The sequence below is a fragment of the Homo sapiens genome, chromosome 4, assembly GCF_000001405.40.
Source record: "Homo sapiens chromosome 4, GRCh38.p14 Primary Assembly".
Classification (NCBI taxonomy): domain Eukaryota; kingdom Metazoa; phylum Chordata; class Mammalia; order Primates; family Hominidae; genus Homo; species Homo sapiens.
Window position 1 is genome coordinate 82,432,998 of NC_000004.12, and position 22,842 is coordinate 82,455,839.

At 43.1% G+C, this 22,842-nt stretch overlaps 1 protein-coding gene across 3 annotated transcripts in view; it reads left to right on the forward strand.

The window, feature by feature from the left end:
* ENOPH1 (enolase-phosphatase 1) overlaps positions 1 to 22,842 on the forward strand; it is a 30,588-nt gene that overhangs the window by 2,408 nt on the left and 5,338 nt on the right. For 2 of the 3 annotated variants that reach the window (NM_021204.5, NM_001292017.2), the window contains exons 2-4: positions 14,923 to 15,024; positions 18,046 to 18,248; positions 21,725 to 21,857. In NM_021204.5, the coding sequence (NP_067027.1) occupies positions 14,923 to 15,024; positions 18,046 to 18,248; positions 21,725 to 21,857 (438 nt within the window). The remainder of the gene's footprint in view (positions 1 to 14,922; positions 15,025 to 18,045; positions 18,249 to 21,724; positions 21,858 to 22,842) is intronic. The other variant, NR_120457.2, reaches the window with a different exon arrangement.

Genomic DNA, 22,842 nt, shown 5'->3' on the forward strand with positions numbered 1-22,842 from the left:
TTGTGACAGAGTAACCGCTTTCTTGGTTTTCAGAGAAAAAAGGAGTCCTCATTTTTGTAATTTATAGTTAACAGCTCACTCGTTCCACTCTGGCTCTCTCTTGCTTTCTGCGGTCATCAGGAGACCAAGGATAAGGACAGGAGAGGTAGTGATGTGGCATTAGATCATTAGATACTACCGTTTTCTGAAGGTAGATTTGGGGAGTAAGAAACCTCATACAAAATCAATTTTGCAACAAAACATAATACCCCTCCCCCACCTTTTTCCCCAAGTGTGTCTTCTGCTAGATGACATTATGAGCCACTTCTTGGAATCTTTGTGTCTGTGGCAGACTTATTCTGAAATCCAAAAATAAAAATGTCTTAGTTGCCTAAATAAATTTTTCTGAATTTGACGCTAGGCAATGTGCAATTTCAATGCAGGCTGCAAAAGAATGATTTAGGGATCTTGTTTAAAGGATAATTTCTTGTGCCCTGTCCTATAATAATATCTATTGTTATTAATATTGTTAATCTATTATAATCTAATCTATTATTATAATTTGTTAGACATGAATTTATCAAAACCATTTTTCCTAAAAGTATGTTTAAAAGAAAGTTAGGTCTGTGTGGATGTTTATGGTAATTATGTAAAAAAGGATTCCATTAAATGCACTTTTGGGAAATGCTAGTTAGAATGAGTTCAAATAGATTTCTTTATTGCAAGACTTCTCAGAACCTTCGGTATCATACATATATATACACACATACACACTTTGTGAGATTTCAAGAGAGTGACATTTCACAAATCTACTTGAACAAAAAACTTTTAGTAGAGTATCTCAGTGACTAATCTTTTAAACACCTTTTAAAGAGATGCTGAGTTACATTCTTGAATCTGAGCACGGAAAGGTTGAGCATGGGAGTTGAAAGATAATCTGCTTGGAGCTTTAAAGTCAGAGTAGGTGTGTGAACTTGTAGCCCTTCCTTCTGTGGAATGATGGAAGGAAACATTGAGTACTGTATACGTGCAGTACTCAATCCTTGACTCATTCTAAAAGACCATGAGGTGTATGTACTGTCTACACTTTACTTAGGATGAAACAAAGCCTCTGAAAAGTTGAACAAGATGCCTGGGATTTGAACTCAGATTGTCTTATTCATAAAAACTCTTATTTTTTCCATTACTGCACTCAGCCTTGGAAATGGGATGCTACTGTTTGTCCTGTCTCCTTTGCTTGGTGGTTGTGTATGTTAAATGACACAGTTAGTATGAGAGTTCTTTAATCAATGTGAAGTACTGTGCTATAAAAGTATATGGTAACAAGCCAGGTACGGTGGCTCAGGCATGTAATCCCAGCACTTTGGGACGCCGAAGCAGGTGGATCTCTTGAGGTCAGGAGTTCGAGGCCAGCCTGGCCAACATGGTGAAAGCCAGTCTCTACTAAAAATACAAAAAGTAGGCCAGGCATGGTGGCTCATAATCCCAGCACTTTGGGAGGCCGAGACAGGTGGATCACCTGAGGTCAGGAGTTTGAGACCAGCCTGGTCAACATGGTGAAACCCCGTCTCTACTAAAAATACAAAAATTAGCCGGGCATGGTGGTGGGCACCTGTAATCCCAGCTACTCAGGAAGCTGAGGCAGAAGAATCACTTGAACCCAGGAGGTGGAGGTTGCAGTGAGCCGAGATTGTACCACTGCCTTCCAGCCTGGGCAACAGAGGAAGACGCTGTCTCAAAAAAAGAAAAGAAAAGAAAAAAAGGAATAAATAATTCAAAAATTAGCTGGGCATGGTGGCGCACACCTGTAATCCCAGCTACTGGGGAGGCTGAGGTGGGAGAATCGCTTGTACCTGGGAGGCGGAGGTTGCAGTGAGCCGAGATCGTGCCAGTGCACTCCAACCTGAGTGACAGAGCGAGACTGTCTTTAAAAAAAAAAAAAAGTATATGGTAACAAATTTCAGTTTATAGCATGTCTTTGTGTCTTGCCTGAGGATCATCAAAATTTGTTGGGAGTAGAGCTGCAGCAGAGCCCAGTTTTCCTTAGATGTTCCCACCGCATCTAAATCCACCGCCACCATCCCTGCACTTTACCGCAGGACACATACCTCTGGTGTTTGTTCTTTTTTGTCTTTGTTTTTCTGAAGCAGGGTCAGGCTGTGTCACCCAGGCTGGAGTACAGTGGCACGATCACAGCTCACCGCAACCTCGACCTCTCAGGCTTAAGCAATCCTCCTACCTCAGTCTCCTGAGTAGCTGGGACCACGAGTGTGCACCACCATGCCTAGCTAGCTTATTTTTATTTTTTATAAAGATGGGGTTTCACAGTGTTGCCCAGGCTGTTCTCAAACTCCTGGACTCAAACAGTCCTCCCATCACGGCTTCCCAGAGTGCTGGGATTATAGGCATGTGCCACCATGTCCAGCTAATTTTTAAAATTTTTTGCAGAGATGGGGTCTCACTGGGTTGTCCAGGCTGGTAAAGCATTTTTAGAAATAGTGAATTCATTCTTGATTATTTAACAGTCCTCTTTATGTCCTCTTATAATGTATTTTAGAAGATAATAATTGGGGAGTGTTGCAGTTAACATCTTTCTTATGAAAACTGCTATATTAAATTATGGTCTTTTTAGGAAGAGAGCTTTAAAGTCTGATAGTTATCTCCCAACTTTGGTTAAACATCCATTTGATAAGTAGTATTACTTCTATTATTGCCAGCATTGAGAAGTGTAGGATGCGCACTCTGCCTGCACAATGAAACAGCTAGAAGACAGCCTACAAGGAATGGCACACTGGAAGCATTCTTCTACCTGTGCTATTTATTATTGACACCAGTAACTGTAATAGGGTCTCTTTCCCTATCTTCATTCAGTCTACGGATTTAGGCTTTTTCATCCGCAGGGATGGGCTACTAGGATATGCTTTGTTTATAAAGGTGGTGATGAAGGTTAAATAAGATGGAATTCAAAAGCCTTTGAAAATTACGAAGTCCTATAGAAACACTGATTATAATGCAGGAAGTGTCAGACTGGAGGAAATAGAAAGTGCTTATGAAGGAAGGATTGATAAGGAAAAGAGGGATCTTACATTTCCTGAAACCCACCATGCTCCCAGTTACGTCTACCATGGTTACTCCCAGTGACTTCTGCTCCTTATTGCCCTACCCAGAAATATGTTAAAAATAAGACGCAGGATATTGTTGATCTCTAAGAATTTGTGGAAGCACTGGAATGGCAGATAAGTAGTTGTTGATGGGTTGATAAACAACTGCCCCCCTCTCCCCAAACTTTTCTACTGCTTAGGGCAGTGTTTCCCAGCTACATTCATGGTAGTACGTGAGAGGATTTTTGTTGACTCAGCTTGAAACAAGGTGAGGAGTCTTTGGAGAATCACTGTCTTGCGTATATCAAGAGGTGGATGGAGGCTAGCCTTAGCCTTGGTGGCTCACACTTGTAATCCTAGCACTTTGGAAGGCCAAGGTGAGAGGATTGCTTGAACCTAGGAGTTCAAGACCAGCCTGCGCAATGTAGCATGACCTCGTCTCTACTAAAAATAAAAAAAGTTAGCCAGGTGTAGTGGCATGTGCCTGTGATCCCAGCTACTCAGGAGGCTGAGGTAGAAGGATCATTTGAGCCCAGGAGGTCAAGGCTGCAGTAAGCCATGATCGTGCCACTGCAGTCCAGCCTGGATGACAAAGCAAGACCCTGTCTCAAAAAAAAAAAAAAAAAATGGTGGATAGAAAGCACCTCTGGCCTCTGGGAGGAAGCTGTCCCACCTAGCTGGGAGGGACCTCACCTAGGATTCAGGAGACCTGGGCTGCCTACCACATGAGCCTTAGACAATCTGCTCACCCAGCCACCTGTTAGTTCCCTAAAGCTGGGACTGTCATGTTCATCCTGCTCTCACACAGAATATGTCATCGTCGTCATCATCATCATCATCATCCTATCGTTGTTGGAACCCAAAGAATCTGCATTAAGTAAATAATTCAGTATGGGCATGGTGGCTCACCCCTGTAATCCGAACACTTTGGGAGGCAAAGGTTGGAGGATCACTTGAGGCTAGGAGTTTCAGACCAGCCTGGGCAACATAGCAAGACCCTGTCTTAAAAAAAAATTATAAAAAAAGAAAGCACCTCTCACTTTGATTTCTGGTTCCTTATTTTTCTAGAACCTTCAGTATTGTGGCATTAGCATAATCTTTCCAGCCTAATCAATCCTTCTTTCCTTTCCCTCACATTTAATTGAATACCTGTCATGTTCCAGGATATGGTAGGGATCCAGAGTCCTTAAGACCCAGCTGTCACCCTCAGGTTCCTCAGGGAACCTAGAAAGGAAGACAGTTACATAAATAGGTCGCCTTTGCATAATCAAAGTCCTCTGTAGTCTCTCACTGGCTGTGAGATGAGAGTTCAACAAATTGGGTTTTCCAACTTTCTATCCCTCTCTTTACACTTTACATAGCTGAACATGCACATTCCAATCATGCCCTTTCTTGCTGCCACCATTCTTCCAGCTTGGAATGTCATACCTTTTCGTCTCCAAGTGTGGGTCCCATGCACTCATTAACTTAAAAAAAAATTACTTATTGTGCTAAGCTGTGGGAATATGGAAGTAAGAGCTACCTCTTCTTGTAAAGGACCTATTTAAGCAGGAATTTCAAAGTCCTTTCTCTTCGTCCTCTGAACTCATTGTCAGTACCATGTGTAGTATTTGCTACTGGAGCCAATAGCTGACTTGTGATGTTGGATGTGTGTCCTCTTTTTCAAGCTGTGTGGAAGGCTCCTCAAGGGCAGAGACCAGAGCCTCACACAGTGCTTACACATCAGGCATGCTGTAACATGCTGGGTGATGGTGATATGCATTCCGGAATGGGTGTGGGAGGGACTGGGATTCAGTTTCTTCCATACTCTGCAATCCTTGCTATTTCAGATTTCCTCAAGGTGGTACTCTATTATATTTGAACAATTTAACTGAAAGTGTTTCTAGAGTGGCATTAGAATTCATTGACTCAACATTTCCAAAACCTACAAGTTATAGAGGATGAAACCAGCTGATAATGGAAATTAAATGTCATAAAAGAGAAAATTTTATTAACAAAATTAAGATAAAAAGTGAAATATGTTATTTATAGAAACTTGCATCTGTTAATGTAAGACTAGAGGAAAGGTTTTTCTACCCCCCCAAATATTCTTCCTAGAAAATTAGTTCGCCCTGATTATAAAATTGCAGACAAAGAAGAGTATGATATAGAGAGTGAAAGCCCTGATATGCTCCTGCCATCCAGAGGTGACCATTAAGAGTTTGGTGAATATTCCTTCTGTTTTTTTCCCTAGGTACACAGTAAAGTCATACAGATCTTTGAAAGATATGTAGTCAGACTTATTGAGTAAAAGGGGTTGGGCATGGTGGCTCACACCTGTAATCCCAGCACTTTGGAAGGCCATGGCAAGGAGATTACTTGAGTCCAGGAGTTCAAGACCAGCCTGGGCAACATAGGGAGACCCCATCTCTACAAAAAATAAAAAATTGGCTGGACATGGTGATGTGCACCTGTAATCCCAGCTACTCAGGAGGCTGAGGTGGGAGGATCACTTGAGCCCAGGAGGTAGAGACTGTGGTGAGGTGTGATTGTGCCACTGCACTGCATGCAGCCTGGGTGACAGAGCTGGAATGCAGTGGCGTGATCGAAAAAATAACAATTTTTAAAAGGGGCACTGATTTTAAGCTATAACCCCTATATTTTAAATACATAGGCTGGATTTTATCTTGCTCATACAGACTTTTAAAATGATACCCTGTGTTTAGCCCTGAAAAGTGCTTACTTCTTCTTTGTCTGATGGGTCTTAAAATTTTCTATCCTTGCAGCTTACCCTGTGTTACCACTCCACTAAAGAAAACAAAGTATTCTTTTTTACAATAAAAGGTTATTTTTATATGAAACTTTGAATTTCACATTTATCAACTCATTTGATTTTCAAAACTGGTTTTGTTGGAGGTGCAGGTCAGAAGAGGAGTGGAAACCAACCTGCCCTAATCCTATTGCACCCATTTTCCCATCAGCTCACTAAAGAGTCGTGTGGAAAGTTGGTAGCTTTATCCTCAGAGGCCCTCCTGGATCCTCTCTGGACCTTTCCCAGGTGATACCATTTCAGGAAAATGGGTTTCTTTTCAAAGACAGAATGTCTTTAGGACAGAAAGGGGTTGTTTGCCTTCTAGGTATGTGCATGAGGGGTTCATTTCTTAGCTTGATTTTCTTTCCAGTGATTCATGATGTGACCTTCTAACAAGTTCCTTTTCTTAAGTCTAAAAAGTGTGGACCTGGTACCCCTTTACTGAGTAAAGAGAAACTAAGGCATGCGGTTTGGAAACTAATGGTAATTTCAGCATTGAGACCTTGGTGGGACTTTGGAGCTCACAATCAGACCAGTGTTTGACAGTTAAGCTTGTGTATACTTACTCCAGCTCTCTCTGGACTGGTCTTGTATGGGTCCAAGTCGTTGTAAGTTCAGGAAGGTAATTAGATCCCTTTGATGGGGGTAAAGAGTGGGATCTTTACCCCCGATCTGATACTGGGGAGATTCCAGGCATCTGACTCTATAAACTCAAAAAGAAAGACCTGATTGGTAAACTATAATCTCAGTTTGTTAATTTGTACTTAACCTTTATGTGCCTCTGAAAAATGGAGGAAGTAGTAGCACCAATTTCACAGGGTTATTATGAAGATTAAAATGACATTATCAGTAAGTTGAGTAAATTTTGAGTGCTTGGTGGTGGCAGTGGTGAGAAGTGATTGGATCTGAATATATTTTGAAGGTAGAGCTGATGGGATTTGCTGATGGATTGGTTGGATGTGGAGTTTGAGAGAAAGAGGAGTCAAAGATGACTCTAAGGTTTTTGGCCTGAGCATCTGGAAGGATGGTTCTGTCATTTACTGTGATGTGGAGATGTAGGGGGAGGAGGAGGATTAAGGGATGGAATCAAGAGTTTGGTTTCAGATGTGTTTAGTTTGAGATACTGAATAGACATGCAAGTGGGGATATTGGGTAGGCATTTGGAAAAGGTCCAAGCTAAAGGTAAGGATTTGGGGATCATTAGTATAAATGGTATTTAAAGTCATGGAATTAGGTAAGATCACAAAGGAGTGATTATAGATAGAAAAGAGAAGTGTTTGTCATAGTAAGTGCTCAGTAAATGTTGGCAGTTACTCCCATTACTATAACTACTTGAATTATTATTGCTGATACTTTATAGGAAATGTTACAGAACTACTGGGTGAACCATAATCTCTCATTTTCTTTGTATGAAACCTCTTTGGGGAATCAAAGCTATATTAGAAATTTCCATAGAGAATATGCTGTCAAGATCCAGGGAGTTAGATGATCCTGGTGAGTAGTGCTCCTTGAAGTCATTCACCCGTGAGAGCTGGATGGCTTCAGGTGTTGGGATTTGATAGGCCTGGGTTTGAGTCCTGGCTTTACTCTGCACCAGCAGCGAAACCTCTTTGAACCTCAGTGTCTTCCTCTATGAAAGAAGGCTTACTTTGCAGGGATGTTAGGCAGATTCAAGGAGATGAATGTGAATGCCTTCCTTTCCCCTCCACTGTTAAGGACTAGGACTCTGGGCCAGTCAAGTTCCCTTTCTGGAACTCATTGGAGATACTCTGTTTCTTTTGTGCTGCTTCTTAAAACCTTACTCCAATTACTAGCCCTCTTGTACTGATAACAATCCCTTGTTCAGTGTGATTCATTGCACTTAATTAGATAACAGTGTATCTTTTGTTAATTATAATTTAATCTCCTTAATGGGGCTATCTTTTGTCTTATCAGCACCACATTGATTAATTCATTTTGAATGCACATGTGAAATCTGATGTTCATTCCTAAGCTTTCAGTTTTCAACCTACACCCCTTGTATGGGTCCAGCCCTGTTTACTCCCATGAAGACGAGGACAGTAGGATTTTAATTCCTGAGACCATGTGGCCCCATGTGGCAGCCAGAACACAGAAACTTCTTGATAGCTCCTACTGTGGTCTTCAGGAAGCCTTTTTGAAGAGCAATTCTAATACCACAACTGCTGAAACTATCTGGCAGATGGCATGGACCACTCCAAAAAGTAGCAATTCTCGTTGTTAGAAGTATTTAAACAAAGCTTGGTGTATTAGTCTGTTCTCATGCTGCTAATAAAGACATACCTGAGACTGAGTAGTTGATAAAGGAAAGAGGTATAATGGACTTACAGTTCCACATGGCTGGGGAGGCCTCACAATCATGGTGGAAGAAGAAGGAAGAGCAAAGGGATATTTTATATGGTGGCAGGCAAGAGGGCATGTTCAAGGGAGCTCCCCTTTATAAAACCATCAGGTTGTCAGGTGTGGTGGCTCATGCCTGTAATCCCAGCTGTTTGGGAGGCCAAGGTGGGCAGATCACGAGGTCAGGAGATCGAGACCATCCTGTTTAACACGGTGAAACCCCGTTTCTGCTAAAAATACAAAAAATTGGCCGGGTGTGGTGGCAGGCGTGGTGGCGGGTGCCTGTAGTCCCAGCTACTCTGGAGGCTGAGGCAGGAGAATGACGTGAACCCGGGAGGCAGAGCTTGCAGTGAGCTGAGATGGCGCCACTGCACTCCAGCCTGGGCGACAGAGCGAGACTGCATCTCAAAATAAAATAAAATAAAGTAAAAACCATCAGATCTTGTGACAGTTATTTACTCCCAGCACTTTGAGAGGTTGAGATGGGAGGATCACTTAAGCCCAGGAGTTCACGACCCGCCTGGGCAACATAGTGAGACTGTCTCTACAAAAACAACAACAACAACAACAAAAATAAATTTAAAAAACCAAAAAAGCCTAATGTATTACATTTTCCTAATACTATTATCACAGACATCTGGCAGTAAACATCTGTGGGAAAACTACATGGGAAGGCTAACTTTAACAGAGAAAGATGCTAGGTGACAAGATCATCAAAGTAAGTGACTTTGAGCCAGGGAAGAAAAGTGGCTCAGCACAAATGTGGTCTTTCTTCAGACTGATCATAGTATAGCTGATTCACTACCTGTGCCGATAAAGCTCTATTCTCTTGAAGTCACAGTGTAGTCATTCTGATTGGAATTTGGATTTTGCTAAATTCTTCAGTCATTCTGCCTCAGATAACTAGCTCTTCTTGTCCATTGCATGTAATTTCCCCTAAGTTTATTCACTGGATACAGCCTTTAATTATTTGTCTTTGTAGGGGGTGATTTTATTTAAAACACTGTCAGCAGGCCAGCTTGGTGGTGGCTCCTGTAATCCCAGCACTTTGGGAGGCCAAGATGCGGGGGATCATCAGAGGTCAGGAGTTCGAGACCAGCCTGGCCAACATGGTGAAACCCCATCTCTACTAAAAATGCAAAAATCAGTTGGGCGTGGTGGCACACACCTGTAATCCCAGCTACTCAGGAGGCCGAGGCAGGAAAATTGCTTGAACTCAGGAGGTGGAGGTTGCAGTGAGCTGAGATCGCACCATTGTATTCCACCCTGGGTGACAGAGCGAGACTCTGTCTCAAAAAAACAAACAAAAAAAACACTGTCGGCAATCTATGATTTTTTTTTTAACACTTAGTTTTGCTAACTTTTAGCACTATTAAGGTTATACATTTTTATTGCAGAAAAGAGATATGCAAAAAAGTTTCTTTTAATGTCATAACCCAGAGAGAACCTTTGTAAACATTTAAGTTCATGTTCTCTCATATTTTGTTCAGTGTGTTAAATATCCCCCCGATAGGATTATGCTGTACATACTGTTTGTAACCTGTTTTATTAATTATTTGTATGATGTGATTTATATTTAGGAACCATCAAGCCAGTTAATTTTGTTTGTTGTTGTTGAGACAGAGTCCTGCTCTATCGCCCAGGCTGGCGTGCAGTGGCGTGATCTTGGCTTACCGTGACCTTTTCCTCCTGGGTTCAAGCAATTCTCATGTCTGGGATTACAGGCGCGAGCCACCACACCTGGCTAAGTTTTTGTTTTTAGTAGAGAGGGGGTTTCACCATGTTGGCCAGGCTGATCTCAAACTCGTGACCTCAAGTGATCACTGGCCTTGGCCTCCCACAGTGCTGGGACTACAGGCGGAGCCACCGCGCCCGGGCGTATGTCTCTATTAATGTTAGAGAATAAAAAGCAACATAAATTTATGTGGGGCCGGTCATGGTGGCTCATGCCTGTAATGCCAGCACTTTGGGAGGCCGCGATGGGATGATTGCCTGAGTCCACGAGCTTGAGACCAGCCTGGCTAACATGGCGAAACCCCATCTCTACTAAAAATTCAAAAAATTAGCTGGGTATGGTGGCTCACGCCTGTAGTCCCAGCTACTCAGGAGGCTGAGGTGGGAGGATCACCTGAGCCCAGGAGACGAAGTTGCAGTGAGCCAAGATCATGCCACTGCACTCCGTCCAAAAAAAAAAGAAAGAAATAATAGCCCACCAATGGGGGCTGGGCGCGGTGGCTCACGCTTGTAATCCCAGCACTTTGGGAGGCCGAGGCTGGCAGATCACGAGGTCAGGAGATCGAGGCCATCCTGGTTAACATGGTGAAACCCCGTCTCTACTAAAAACACAAAAAATTGGCCGGGCGTGGTGGCGGGCGCCTGAAGTCCCAGCTACTCGGGAGGCTGAGGCAGGAAAATGGCATGAACCCAGCAGGTGGAGCTTGCAGTGAGCTGAGATTGTGCCACTGCCCTCCAGCCTGGGACAGAGTGAGACTCCAGTCTCAAAAAAAAAAGGGAAATAATAGCCCACAATATTGCTTTTGTGTTGTTTAATTTGTTTTCTAAAAAATACTAAGTTCTCAAGTACTATAAATCATTTGCATTGTATAGTTCCCTTGGAGGGCTTTTGTTTTATTTATTATTTATTATTTTTATTTTTTTTTGAGACAGAGTCTCCCTGTCACCCAGGGAGTACAGGCTGGAGTACAGTGGTGTGATCTCAGCTCACTACAACTTCTACTTCCGGGTTCAAGCGATTCTCCTGCCTCAGTCTCCCAAGTAGCCGGGATTACAGGCTCGCGCCACCACATCCAGATAATTTTTGTATTTTTAGTAGAAACAGGGTTTCGCCATGTTGGCCAGGCTGGTCTCGAACTCCTGACTTCAAGTGATCCACCTGCCTCGGCCTCCCAAAGTGCTGGGATTACAGGCGTGGGCCACGGCGCCCGGCCAGAAAGCTTTTAAAGTAGTTTCTTTATGTAGCTGTACTCTCAGCACTATTCTTTTTTTTTTTTTTGAGACGGAGTCTCACTCTCTCACCTAGGCTGCAGTGCAGTGGCACAATCTCGGCTCACTACAACCTCCGCCTCCCGGGTTCAAGCATTTCTCTTGTCTCAGCCTCCGGAGTAGCTGGGACTATAGGCGTGTACCACCACGCCCCGACTAATTTTTGTTTTTTTAGTAGAGACGGGGTTTCACTGTGTTGGCCTGGCCTCTCAGCACTATTTTTAGGAGGTACCTTTTATTACCCGTTTTCTTCAAAGGAGATGAATAAATACGGTAACAACAGTTTGATTTTTATTAATTCTATGACCTTTTCATTAAAACAACCACGTGACCGTAAAGCATATCCATATTTGAACTTCTAAACATTTACAAGGCAACTTTTTAAATTAGGTCTTCGAAATTTCATGGCTCTTTCAGTAAGCGATCACTGAGCTTTGCAGAGTAATATAAATTGCTGCTTGCACAGTATCCTCTGTAACATCTAATGGAATTTAATCATATTCCCCTACAAGGCAAATAACTCTAGTTCTATAGCCTTTTGTTGTATGTACTGCTAAATCATAACAACTCCCTAAGTGCCTGGTGGACTGAAAATATTCGCACATTTATTTGTAGAATCCTGAGTTTATTGTAGCATATTTGTCATACTATAGTATTCTGAAATTATCTGTAAGTGGATTATAACTGAAGTTAAAACATTTATTGTCAATGGGTACTGTGGTTTATGCCTGTAATCCCAGCACTTTAGGAGGCTGAGGTGGGATGATTGCTTAAGCTCAGGAGTTCAAGACCAGCCTGAGCAACATAGCGAGATCTTGTCTTTACAAAACATTTTTTAAAAAATTAGCAAGGCTAATTACAGGTGGTGCACACCTGTAATCCCATCTACTCAGGAGGATGAGGTGGGACGATCTCTTGAGTCCAGGAGTTCAAGACAGGAGTGAGCTGTAATTGTCACCACTGCATTCCAGCCTGAGTGACAGATCAAGACTCTGTCTCAAAAAAGAAAAAAAAAATTCTTATAATGTATGATAGTACATGCCAGGCCATTTAATAAGCAACTTGAAGGCATTGTATTTGTCTTACAGATATTCTCAATAAGTATGTTGAAAGATTGGATAAAATTTTCACAATTTAGTTGATTATTTCATGTACATACTTTTATGCAGTAACACTTTTGCACTAAAATAGTACCGTCTGCTAACATGTTGACTGTAAATCATTTGTTTTTTTGTTTGTTTTTTGAGTAGGAGTCCCGCTTTGTTACCCAGGGTGGAGTGCAGTGGTGCAATCACAGCTCACTGCAGCCTCAGCCTCCTGGGGTCAAGTAATTCTCCTATCTCAGCCCCTCCAAGTAGCTGGGACCACAGATGTGCATCACCATGCCCAGCTAGCTTTTTAATTTTTTGTGGAGACAGGGTCAGGCTGGTCTTGAACTCCTGGGTTCAAGTGATCTTACTGCCTTGGCCTCCCAAAATGCTGGGATTACAGGCATGAGCCACCATGCCCAGCAGCAAATAATATTTATAGTCCAGATGTTATACTAAATTCTAGCCTCATTGTCTAGCTTTTGTGATGACTTAGTACAGTGGCGCATTTTATAGATGAGGAGAGGGGCATATTGGATGATCAGGAACTCTAAAGTAATCTCCAACTTCTAAGGCTGTTCTCGAACATTCAATATTGTTTGAAACCTTGCACCTTTTATTTCCTTGAGTTCTCTGAGAAGAGTGGCTTCATAACTCCAGTGTCCTGCTCTCTGTAGGCTCTCAGGAAAGTTGAATGAATAAGTTGGTTGTGCTTGTGATTTATCTTCTGGGAACTTCTCTGCTATTATTTATCATGAAATTTGGGTAATCCTTGCTCAGTTTAACTGCATGTGCTGGAGAATATGTTAAGAATATATCACCAGGCACAGTGACTCACGCCTGTAATCCCAGCACTTTGGGAGGCTGAGGCCGGTGGATCATTTGAGGTCAGGAGTTCAAGACCAGCCTGGCCAACATGGTGAAACCCTGTGTCTACTAAAAATACAAAAATTAGCCGGGTGTGGTGGCAGGTGCCTGTAATCCCAGCTACTTGGGAGGCTGAGGCAGGACAATCTCTTGAACTCGGGAGGCGGAGGGAGGTTGCAGTGAGCCGAGATCTCACCACTGCACTCCAGCCTGGGCAATAAAGCAAGACTCCATCTCAAAAAAAAAAAAGAACATATTAAGTGGTAAGATGCCAGGTGCTTTCCATTAGACAGTGCAATCCTCCGATGACTTTGCCTTGTGTTAGTCCTGTGTAGCAAATGAGAAAACTGTGGCTCAGGAGCATAAGTTGTTTGAACACAGCTAGTAAAAAGCGGAGGTAGAAGCCTGACTGGGAAAGAAATTCCTAATGCATGGATTACTGACAGGTTATTTATTACTGAATTGTTTTGCACATCACTTTTTTTTTTTTTTGTGTGACGGAATCTTTTTTTTTTTTTTTTTTTTTTTTTTTTGAGACGGAGTCTCGCTCTGTCGCCCAGGCCGGACTGCGGACTGCAGTGGCGCAATCTCGGCTCACTGCAAGCTCCGCTTCCCGGGTTCACGCCATTCTCCTGCCTCAGCCTCCCGAGTAGCTGGGACTACAGGCGCCCGCCACCGCGCCCGGCTAATTTTTTGTATTTTTAGTAGAGACGGGGTTTCACCTTGTTAGCCAGGATGGTCTCGATCTCCTGACCTCATGATCCACCCGCCTCGGCCTCCCAAAGTGCTGGGATTACAGGCGTGAGCCACCGCGCCTGGCCAACGGAATCTTATTCTGTCCCCCAGGCTGGAATACAATGATGGGATCTCAGCTTACTGCAACCTCTGCCTCCCAGGTTCAAGCGATTCTCCTGCCTCAGCCTCCCGAGTACCTGAGATTACAGGCACCCGCCACCACACCTGGCTAATTTTTGTATTTTTAGTAGAGACAGGGTTTCACCATGTTGGCCAGGCTGGTCTCAAACTCCTGACCTCAGGTGATCTGCCTGCCTCGGCCTCCCAAAGTGCTAGGATTACAAGTGTGAGCCACCATGCCCAGCTGCATATCACTTTCTTATAGGATGCTCCAAAGGTAGTCTAGTTACCAAGAAAGAGTCATGGTGATCAAGTTTGTTTTGTTTTTTTTTAAATACTTGTCATGTATGGACACCATTCTTTTCAGCAGATTATTTGAGTGATATGTACAATAATGTGGTATGCATGGGGGATAAAGCTGTGAGCAAGACACATTTAATCCATATCCTCAAGGACCTTTGGTCTGGCCATCTAGTTCTGTAGTTGGGAGACTTTTCCTGTAAAGGACCAGACAGTGAATATTTTAGGCTTTGCAGGCCCTATGGTCTTGGTTGCAAATACTGAATTCTGCCATTGTGATGCAAAAGTAGCCACAGACATTATTTAAATAAATGAGTGTGGCTATGTTCCAATAAAACTTCATTTACAGAAATAGGCAGTGGACTTGATTTGGCCTGCAGGTTGTAGTTTGCCGACTCTTGGTCTAGTTTATTTGTTTCTTGGCCTCTGTCTCTCTTTCTTGCTCATATTCACAGCAGCAATTTTCATAGAGTTCCATTGATTTATTTGTTACAGTTATGTAGGTAAGATTGTGGAAGAACTGGATCTTTTACAACTGATAAAAGCTAACTCTTGTATTTTCTTTTACTCTTTTATCCAGGACATTTTATTTCCTTACATCGAAGAAAATGTTAAAGAGTATCTGCAGACACATTGGGAAGAAGAGGAGTGCCAGCAGGATGTCAGTCTTTTGAGGAAACAGGTTGGGACATTTCTGTCTTAAATTCCCAAGTGTCTTAGAAATGAGGGTACCTGGAGATTTAGGACATGCTCTGAGCATTTTGTAAAATAAGTGCCCTGGTTTGATAGGGGATAGAAGTTGCAGTGACTTAGTGAGTTGCCTGCTTAGGAATTCACAGTACATAATTAAAGGCTGGATCATGTCAGTTTGTTGTTTCTGGAGTTGCTCTTTGGTTGTTTTTTTTTGTTTTGTTTTGTTTTGTTTTTTTTGTTTTTTTTTGAGATGGAGTCTCACTTCGTTGCCCAGGCTGGAGTGTGGTGGTGTGATCTTAGCTCACTGCAACCTCGCTTACTGGGTTCAGGCGATTCTCCTGCCTCAGCCTCCCGAGTAGCTGGGACTACAGGCACCTGCCACCATGCCCAGCTAATTTTTTGTATTTTTAGTGGAGATTGGGTTTCACCGCATTGGACAGGCTGGTCTAGAACTCCTGATTTCAAGTGATCTACCCTCCTCGGCCTCCCAAAGTGCTGGGATTACAGGCATGAGCTTACCACCCCCAGCCCACCCAAAAAGGGCTTAAGTTTGCAAATATATGATATTGTTAGGCAATTTAAATAGCTCTAGAAAAAGGCAACTCTAGGCTGGGCACGGTGGCTCACACCTGTAATCTCAGCACTTTGGGAGGCCGAGGTGGGTGGATCACTCGAGGTCAGGAGTTTGAGACCAGCCTGGCCAAAATGGTGAAACGCTGCCTCTACTAAAAATACAAAAAATTAGGCCGGGCGCGGTGGCTCACGCCTGTAATCCCAGCACTTTGGGAGGCCGAGGCGGGCGGATCACGAGGTCAGGAGATCGAGACCATCTCGGCTAAAACGGTGAAACCCCGTCTCTACTAAAAATACAAAAAATTAGCCGGGCGTAGTGGCCGGCGCCTGTAGTCCCAGCTACTTGGGAGGCTGAGGCAGGAGAATGGCGTGAACCCGGGAGGCGGAGCTTGCAGTGAGCCGAGATCCCGCCACTGCACTCCAGCCTGGGCGACAGAGCGAGACTCCGTCTCAAAAAAAAAAAAAAAAAAAAAAAATACAAAAAATTAGCCGGACATGGTGGCGGGCACCTGTAGTCACAACTCCTTGGGAGGCTGAGGCAGGAGAATTGCTTGAACGTGGGAGGTGAAGGTTGTAGTGAGCCGAGATGGCGCCACTGCACTCTAGCCTGGGCTACAGAGCAAGACTCCGTCTCAAAAAAAAAGAGTCCTTTCTGGGTAGAATGCAAAAGGTTTTGAGCAGTCTCTACATTTTTTATTAACGTCTCTATATTAGTCTGTTCTCACATTGCTGTAAAGAAATACCTGAGAGTGGGTAATTTTTAAGAAAAGAGGTTTAATTGGCTCACAGGTCTACAGGCTATACAGGAAACATAGCGGCATCTGCTTCTGGGGAGACCTCAGGAAGCTTCTAATCATGATGGAAGGCAAAGCCGGAGCAGGCGTCTCAGATGGTGAAAGTCAGGAGCAAGAGAGTGGGGAGGGGAGGTGCTACACACTTTAAAACAACCAGAACTCACTATTGTGAGGACAGCATCAAGGAGGATGGTGCTAAACAAACCATTCACGAGAAGTCTATCCCCGCGATCCAGTCACCTCCCACTAGGCCTCACCTCCAGCACTGAGGATTACATTTCAATGTGCAATTTGGGTGGGGACACACATCCAAGCCATGTCATTCTCCATATGACAGTACTTCATCATTTTGCACTCCCTCCTTCCTTACTGCAAGCCCCTGCTGCCCCCTCTGCAGTGCTCCTGGGTCCTCACACTCACACTCCCCTTCCAGACTCCTCACCCCAGCTCACTCTGGCCCAGCCCTCATACCTCCTTTGGTCTCCTGTGCTTTGTTCTACCCTCTTCTCCCCACCAGTCATCAGTCTGTCTTTTCCTTCCACATTGTGTGCTATGGAACTCCTGCTCTGTTGTTTTTCTTGTTAAAATTGCTTCAGTGGCAAAGATCTTACATGGTCTGCAGAGCTAACTCACTGGCAGTTATTTTCTAGTTCTATATTGGATACTGTGGAATGCTCTCTGTGGATGTTTTACTGTTAGGAATTAGGATTCAAAATGTAGTTATGTCCTTTGGGCATGGAATATTTGGGATTTTAATTTTCTGGATAACTCAGGGTTAATCTGAAATACAGTGAGTCCTTACTTAATGTTGTCTTTAGGTTCTTGGAAACTAAGTGAAATGACACTTAAATTTCAATTTTCAATTTTAAACCAACCATAACAAAACCAATTTTTTCTCCACATAAATGTTATAACAAAATGATGTTGAAGGAAATGACATTACTTGAGAAGGTCATGCCACTTGAAGTCACAGTTTCCAAGAACCTTTCAATGATGTTAAATGAGGACTTACTTTACTTTCCTCCCTTACCTTTTTTTGTTGTCAAAACCTTGTTGAAACATACATACATAGTCCCCCATTATTGTATATAAATATGTACACATGTATCTTTAGAAATTGGACTGCTTTGTCACAAGGTCATTGTTCTAAGTGGCTACTAGGATTTTTGCAAGATGTGGGAGATTATAGGAGACTGAATGTGAACCAACCTCATTACTTCACTAGCTTCTTTTTGCTGAATTCCAGGCATAAACTAATTTATGAGATTTTCTTTGTTTCTTTCTCCATTAGTTATAGTGCAGAGAAAATTATCAGATTGAGTTAAAGTCCTGGTTTGTTGATCCCAGTAGTGAATCAACAAATCAAATCTTAATTCTATCATTATGTGCTCTCTCTTCTCATATACAACATGCGTCTCAGTTTAAATTTCAGCTTTTAGCAAAAGGAAAGGTAATGTAAATTTATTAATCCAGGTTCTTTTAGGAATCATTTGTATCAGCTCCAAAGTATATGATGTTTCAATTTGCAGCCATACTAGGGCTAATGATGGAGAAAGTTGTTCTGCTGGGTTTTTGGGTCTCGTTTTAAATGACTGTTTTTTGAATAAGCAAAAAACAAACATCATGTTGTTTCTGACTTAAAGGCTGAAGAGGACGCCCACCTGGATGGGGCTGTTCCTATCCCTGCAGCATCTGGGAATGGAGTGGATGATCTGCAACAGATGATCCAGGCCGTGGTAGATAATGTGTGCTGGCAGATGTCCCTGGATCGAAAGACCACTGCACTCAAACAGCTGCAGGGCCACATGTGGAGGGCGGCATTCACAGCTGGGCGCATGAAAGCAGAGTATGTGCTTGAGTCAGCCTAAACATTTCACCAGTCCCAAATCCAAATATGTTTTTTCACCAGTCCTCTCTTTCCAGCGTAAGTCACAAGACTGGTAAAACAGATAAAAATCCACACTCTTTTTAGTCTAACAAGTGAGCTTTGTTTCATTTTTTCAAAACTTGGCTAAAATATTTCAGCTGACTAGATTACCCGGACCTGCCAGTCTGGTCTTGTGGGTTGATTGAAGGACTTGTCAAAGTCTCCGTTTAAAATAGCTTCCTAGAAAATGGTGACTTCCTTGAACTAAGTCATATTTGATTCTTAGCACATGAGTGACAGCTCCGTTGGGCTGCTTGCCTGGACTGTTAATTACCTGCTTTTTGCTCTATGAGACATAGGAAATTTTGTGCCCCACCGTGTTGAGGTTACTCAGAGGATGTCCGCACTACCACGTTCTTCTTTGCTCTTTTGAGCAACTTCCACAGATTCTTTGAGTCTTGGTTATGGAGTTCCTAATAGCACTCCTGCCTGAGGAGACTTTTGAGTATTATACTTACTGAGAAATTCTTGATTGATTCAGACAGGGTCCTACTCTGTTGGCTGGAGTGCAGTGGCATGATCATGGCTCACTGCAGCCTTGACCTCCCCTAGTTCAGGTGATCCTCCCACCTCAGCCTACCGAGTAGCTGGGACTAGGCATGTGCCACCATGCCCAGCTAGTTTTTGTATTTTTAGTACAGATGGGGTTCTACCATGTTGCCCAGGCTAGTCTCAAACTTCTGGGCTTGAGCGATCTGCCTGCCTTGGACTCCCAAAATGCTGGGGTTACAGGCGTAAGTCACAATACCTGGCCTATTTTTTTTTTTTTAGAGCTGGGGTCTTGCTCTGTGATCCACACTGGAGTGCAGTGGTGCCATCATAGCTCACTGTAGCCTTCAAGTGAACCTCCCGCCTCAGCCTCCTCATTAGCTGGGACCACAGGCACGCACCACCACACCTGGCTATTCAAAAAACATTTTTGTAGAGGTGTGGTCTTGCTATGTTGTCCATACCATATTGCTGATAAATTCTTTTCGTTTGTTTGTTTCTGTTTTTGCTTTGAGACCGAGTCTTGCTCTTTGCCCAGGCTGGAGTGCAGTGGCGCAATCTCAGCTCACTGCAACTTCTACCTCCTGGGTTCAAGCGATTCTCCTGCCTCAGCCTCTGGAGTAGCCGCCTGCCACTATGCTAATTTTTGTATTTTTAGTAGACATGGGGTTTCACCATATTGGCCAGGCTGGTCTTGAACTCCTGACCTCAAGTGGTCCACCCCATCTCAGCCTCCCAAACTGCTAGGATTACAGGTATGAGCCACCCCTCCCGGCCTATTTTTGTTTTTGGAGATAGTCTCACTCTGTTGTCCAGGATGGAGTGCATTCACACAATCTTAGCTCACTGCAACCTCCGCCCTCTGGGTTCAAGCAATTCTTGTACCTCAGCCTCCCAAACAGCGGGGACTACAGGTGCGTGCCACCACACCTGGCTAATTTTTTGTATTTTAGTAGAGACAGGGTTTTATCATGTTGTCCAGGCTGGTCTTAAGCTCCTGAGCTCAGGGCAGTCCACCTACCTTGGCCTCCCAAAGTGCTAGGATTACAGGCGTGAGCCACTGTGCCAGGCCTGCTGAGAAATTCTTTTTTTTTTTTTTTTTTTGAGACGGAGTCTTGCTCTGTCACCCAGGCTGGAGTGCAGTGGCGTGATCTCAGCTCGCTGCAAGCTCCGCCTCCTGGGTTCACGCCATTCTCCTGCCTCAGCCTCCCGAGTAGCTGGGACTACAGGCGTGTGCCACCACGCCCGGCTAATTTTTTGTATTTTTAGTAGAGACAGTGTTTCACCGTGTTAGCCAGGATGCTCTCGATCTCCTGACCTTGTGATCCGCCCCCCCTTGGCCTCCCAAAGTGCTGGGATTACAGGTGTGAGCCACTGCACCTGGGTGTGAAATTCTTAAGGATTTTAGGCCATTGCCTGCTGTAAACCCTAGGATCCAAGATTGTTTCCAGCTGCATATATTTCTTTTGTGTTTCTGTCAAATGAGATGTTGTTTCTTTATTTATGTACTTTACGAGGAGCTTCTACCTTTTAAAGGATGGACTGGAATTTCAGGATATGCCAGTGATCTGGGAATATCAGCCAGGTTCACTTTGTAAAGCACTCAAAAAAGTGGAGACAGGAGACTGTGCACCCGGTAGTTAGCCCATACTTCTCTTGGTCTTGGTTCCTTAATTATACAACTAACTGCTGAAGACAGGAAAAATCCTGTCTCCATGAGTGCAAACTAGTACTCAGAATAACATACTTACATGTGTACTGGTTTTGAATACGTTGATCTCTTTCCTTCAATTAGTGCAACATGTTAAGCATGTTAATACATATAAAGCGGAAGACTCCACTGACATTTTCCAGGTAATCTTTTAGAGATGACTGGTTCTACAACCCAAGTTCTTTGTGCTTCTCTTTTCACCTTTCTCCTGTGATGTTAATTTCCTCCATGACTATGGAAAACACTAGAATTGGTAAGAGAGACTGAGTGTCAGAAGTCAGAAAAAGACATCTTTTGCTGACTGGTTAATGTGAGTTGGTACAAGTCTCAACTGACTTGTTATGTAATTTTTTCCCCATATAATAAAACATTGTTTTCTTAGTTCTCAAAAAATGCAGGCCGGGTGCAGTGGCTCATGCCTGTAATCCCAGCACTTTGGGAGGCTGAAGTGGGGGGATCACTTGAGTCCAGGAGTTTGAGACCAGCCTGGGTGACATGGCAAAGCACCATCTCTACAAAAAATTAAAAAAAAAAAAAAAAAGCTGGGGGTGGTAGCACATGCTTGTAGTCCCAACTACCTGGGAGGCTGAGGTGGGAGGATCACTCGAGCCCAGGAGGTAGAGGTTGCAGTGAGCTGAGATCATGCCACTGCACTCCAGCCTAGGCAACAGAGCAAGACCCTGTCTCAAAAAAAAGTAATTCCATTTTCTAGCTAATCATAAGTTTATAGCTTTGAGCCTTCAAACTTTGTTTTGATTATTTTGGGTGCAGATCTTTCTAAAAGCATTTCCATGCTTTCTTAAAGCACAGTGGACATAATTTAACCTTTTCTTGTCATGAAGAACATCAAAGATTATATTATATCATTGCTGTTGTTTGCTTTTTTGAGTTCTTCGGGAATTTAAAAAACACTTTCCCATTTCATCCTTTTATCTGTAGTCCCTTTTTACTGTCACTAGTGGCTGTCTGTTCAAAACTATCCTCCTTTCCACATAGATTGTTGCTTCTAATCTGCTGTGAGCCTGGAACTTGGGCAGTATGTTTATTAGAACTGCAGGAGTTTGTAGTCTCAGGGAGCTGCTTCTCAGGTTACCATGTGGGCACAAAGAGAGAAACATATGGCATCTGTTTTGACAGGTTTTTATCTGGCTAGATGAGGTGTTCCTGTATTTTAACTTAGTGGTCTTCCCTCTAGGTTCTTTGCAGATGTAGTTCCAGCAGTCAGGAAGTGGAGAGAGGCCGGAATGAAGGTGTACATCTATTCCTCAGGGAGTGTGGAGGCACAGAAACTGTTATTCGGGCATTCTACGGAGGGAGATATTCTTGAGGTAGGTTACCTAGTTTACTTTGTTGTTTTGACGCTATCAAAGCATAAAATAATGAATCTTAATGGAAAACTAATTGGAACTAATAGAATGCTTTTTTTTTTTTGGTTGTTTAAAATTAGGTAAGAAGAAAATAATCACTTTTAATTATATTGTATTTACAGTTTCTTCTATATAAGGTTGTTATATAAAGTTTATTCTGTGTCTTGAAAAATAAAATCAGTTAGGATGCAAAATAGGATTGTGCAGTCCTGAGAAATATATAAAGACTTTTTGAATACAGCAGAGAACAAGGTGCACTCATTTGTTTCTGGCTCTTTGAAGAAATATAGATTTCATTTAAGAAGAACCAGCATTATTATAGGAGAACCAGGCACATTTTTAAATGTAATAAGGTCGTCACCTGTTGCATTTCATGTACATGAGAAAATTCTTGCTAGCCCCTCTGTGTCATCATCCCTGCACCCCCTGGAGGATGGGGTGATCAGTGAAAGAAGTGACTACATTTAGGGTTTTAAAAAGAAGTGCTGATTAGCTGAATATAGACCAAACTTAACAATAGGTAACTTGGAATATAGACTTAACTTAAAATAGGTTACTTACAATAGGTAACTTGACCAGATACTTTTTAAAAATAAATATTTACCGGCCGGGCGCAGTGGCTCACGCCTGTAATTCCAGCACTTTTGGAGGCCAAGGTGGGCGGATCACGAGGTCAGGAGATCGAGACCATCCTGGCTAACATGGTGAAACCCCGTCTCTACTAAAAATACAAAAAAAAAAAATTAGCCGGACGTGGTGGCGGGCACCTGTAGTCCCAGCTACTCGGGAGGCTGAGGCAGGAGAATGGCTTGAACCCAGGAGGCGGAGCTTACAGTGAGCTGAGATCGTGCCACTGCACTCCAGCCTGGGCGATAGAGTGAGATTCCATCTCAAAAAAAAAAAAATTTACTTATTTTAACTTACAATAGGTAACTTGAATATAGAC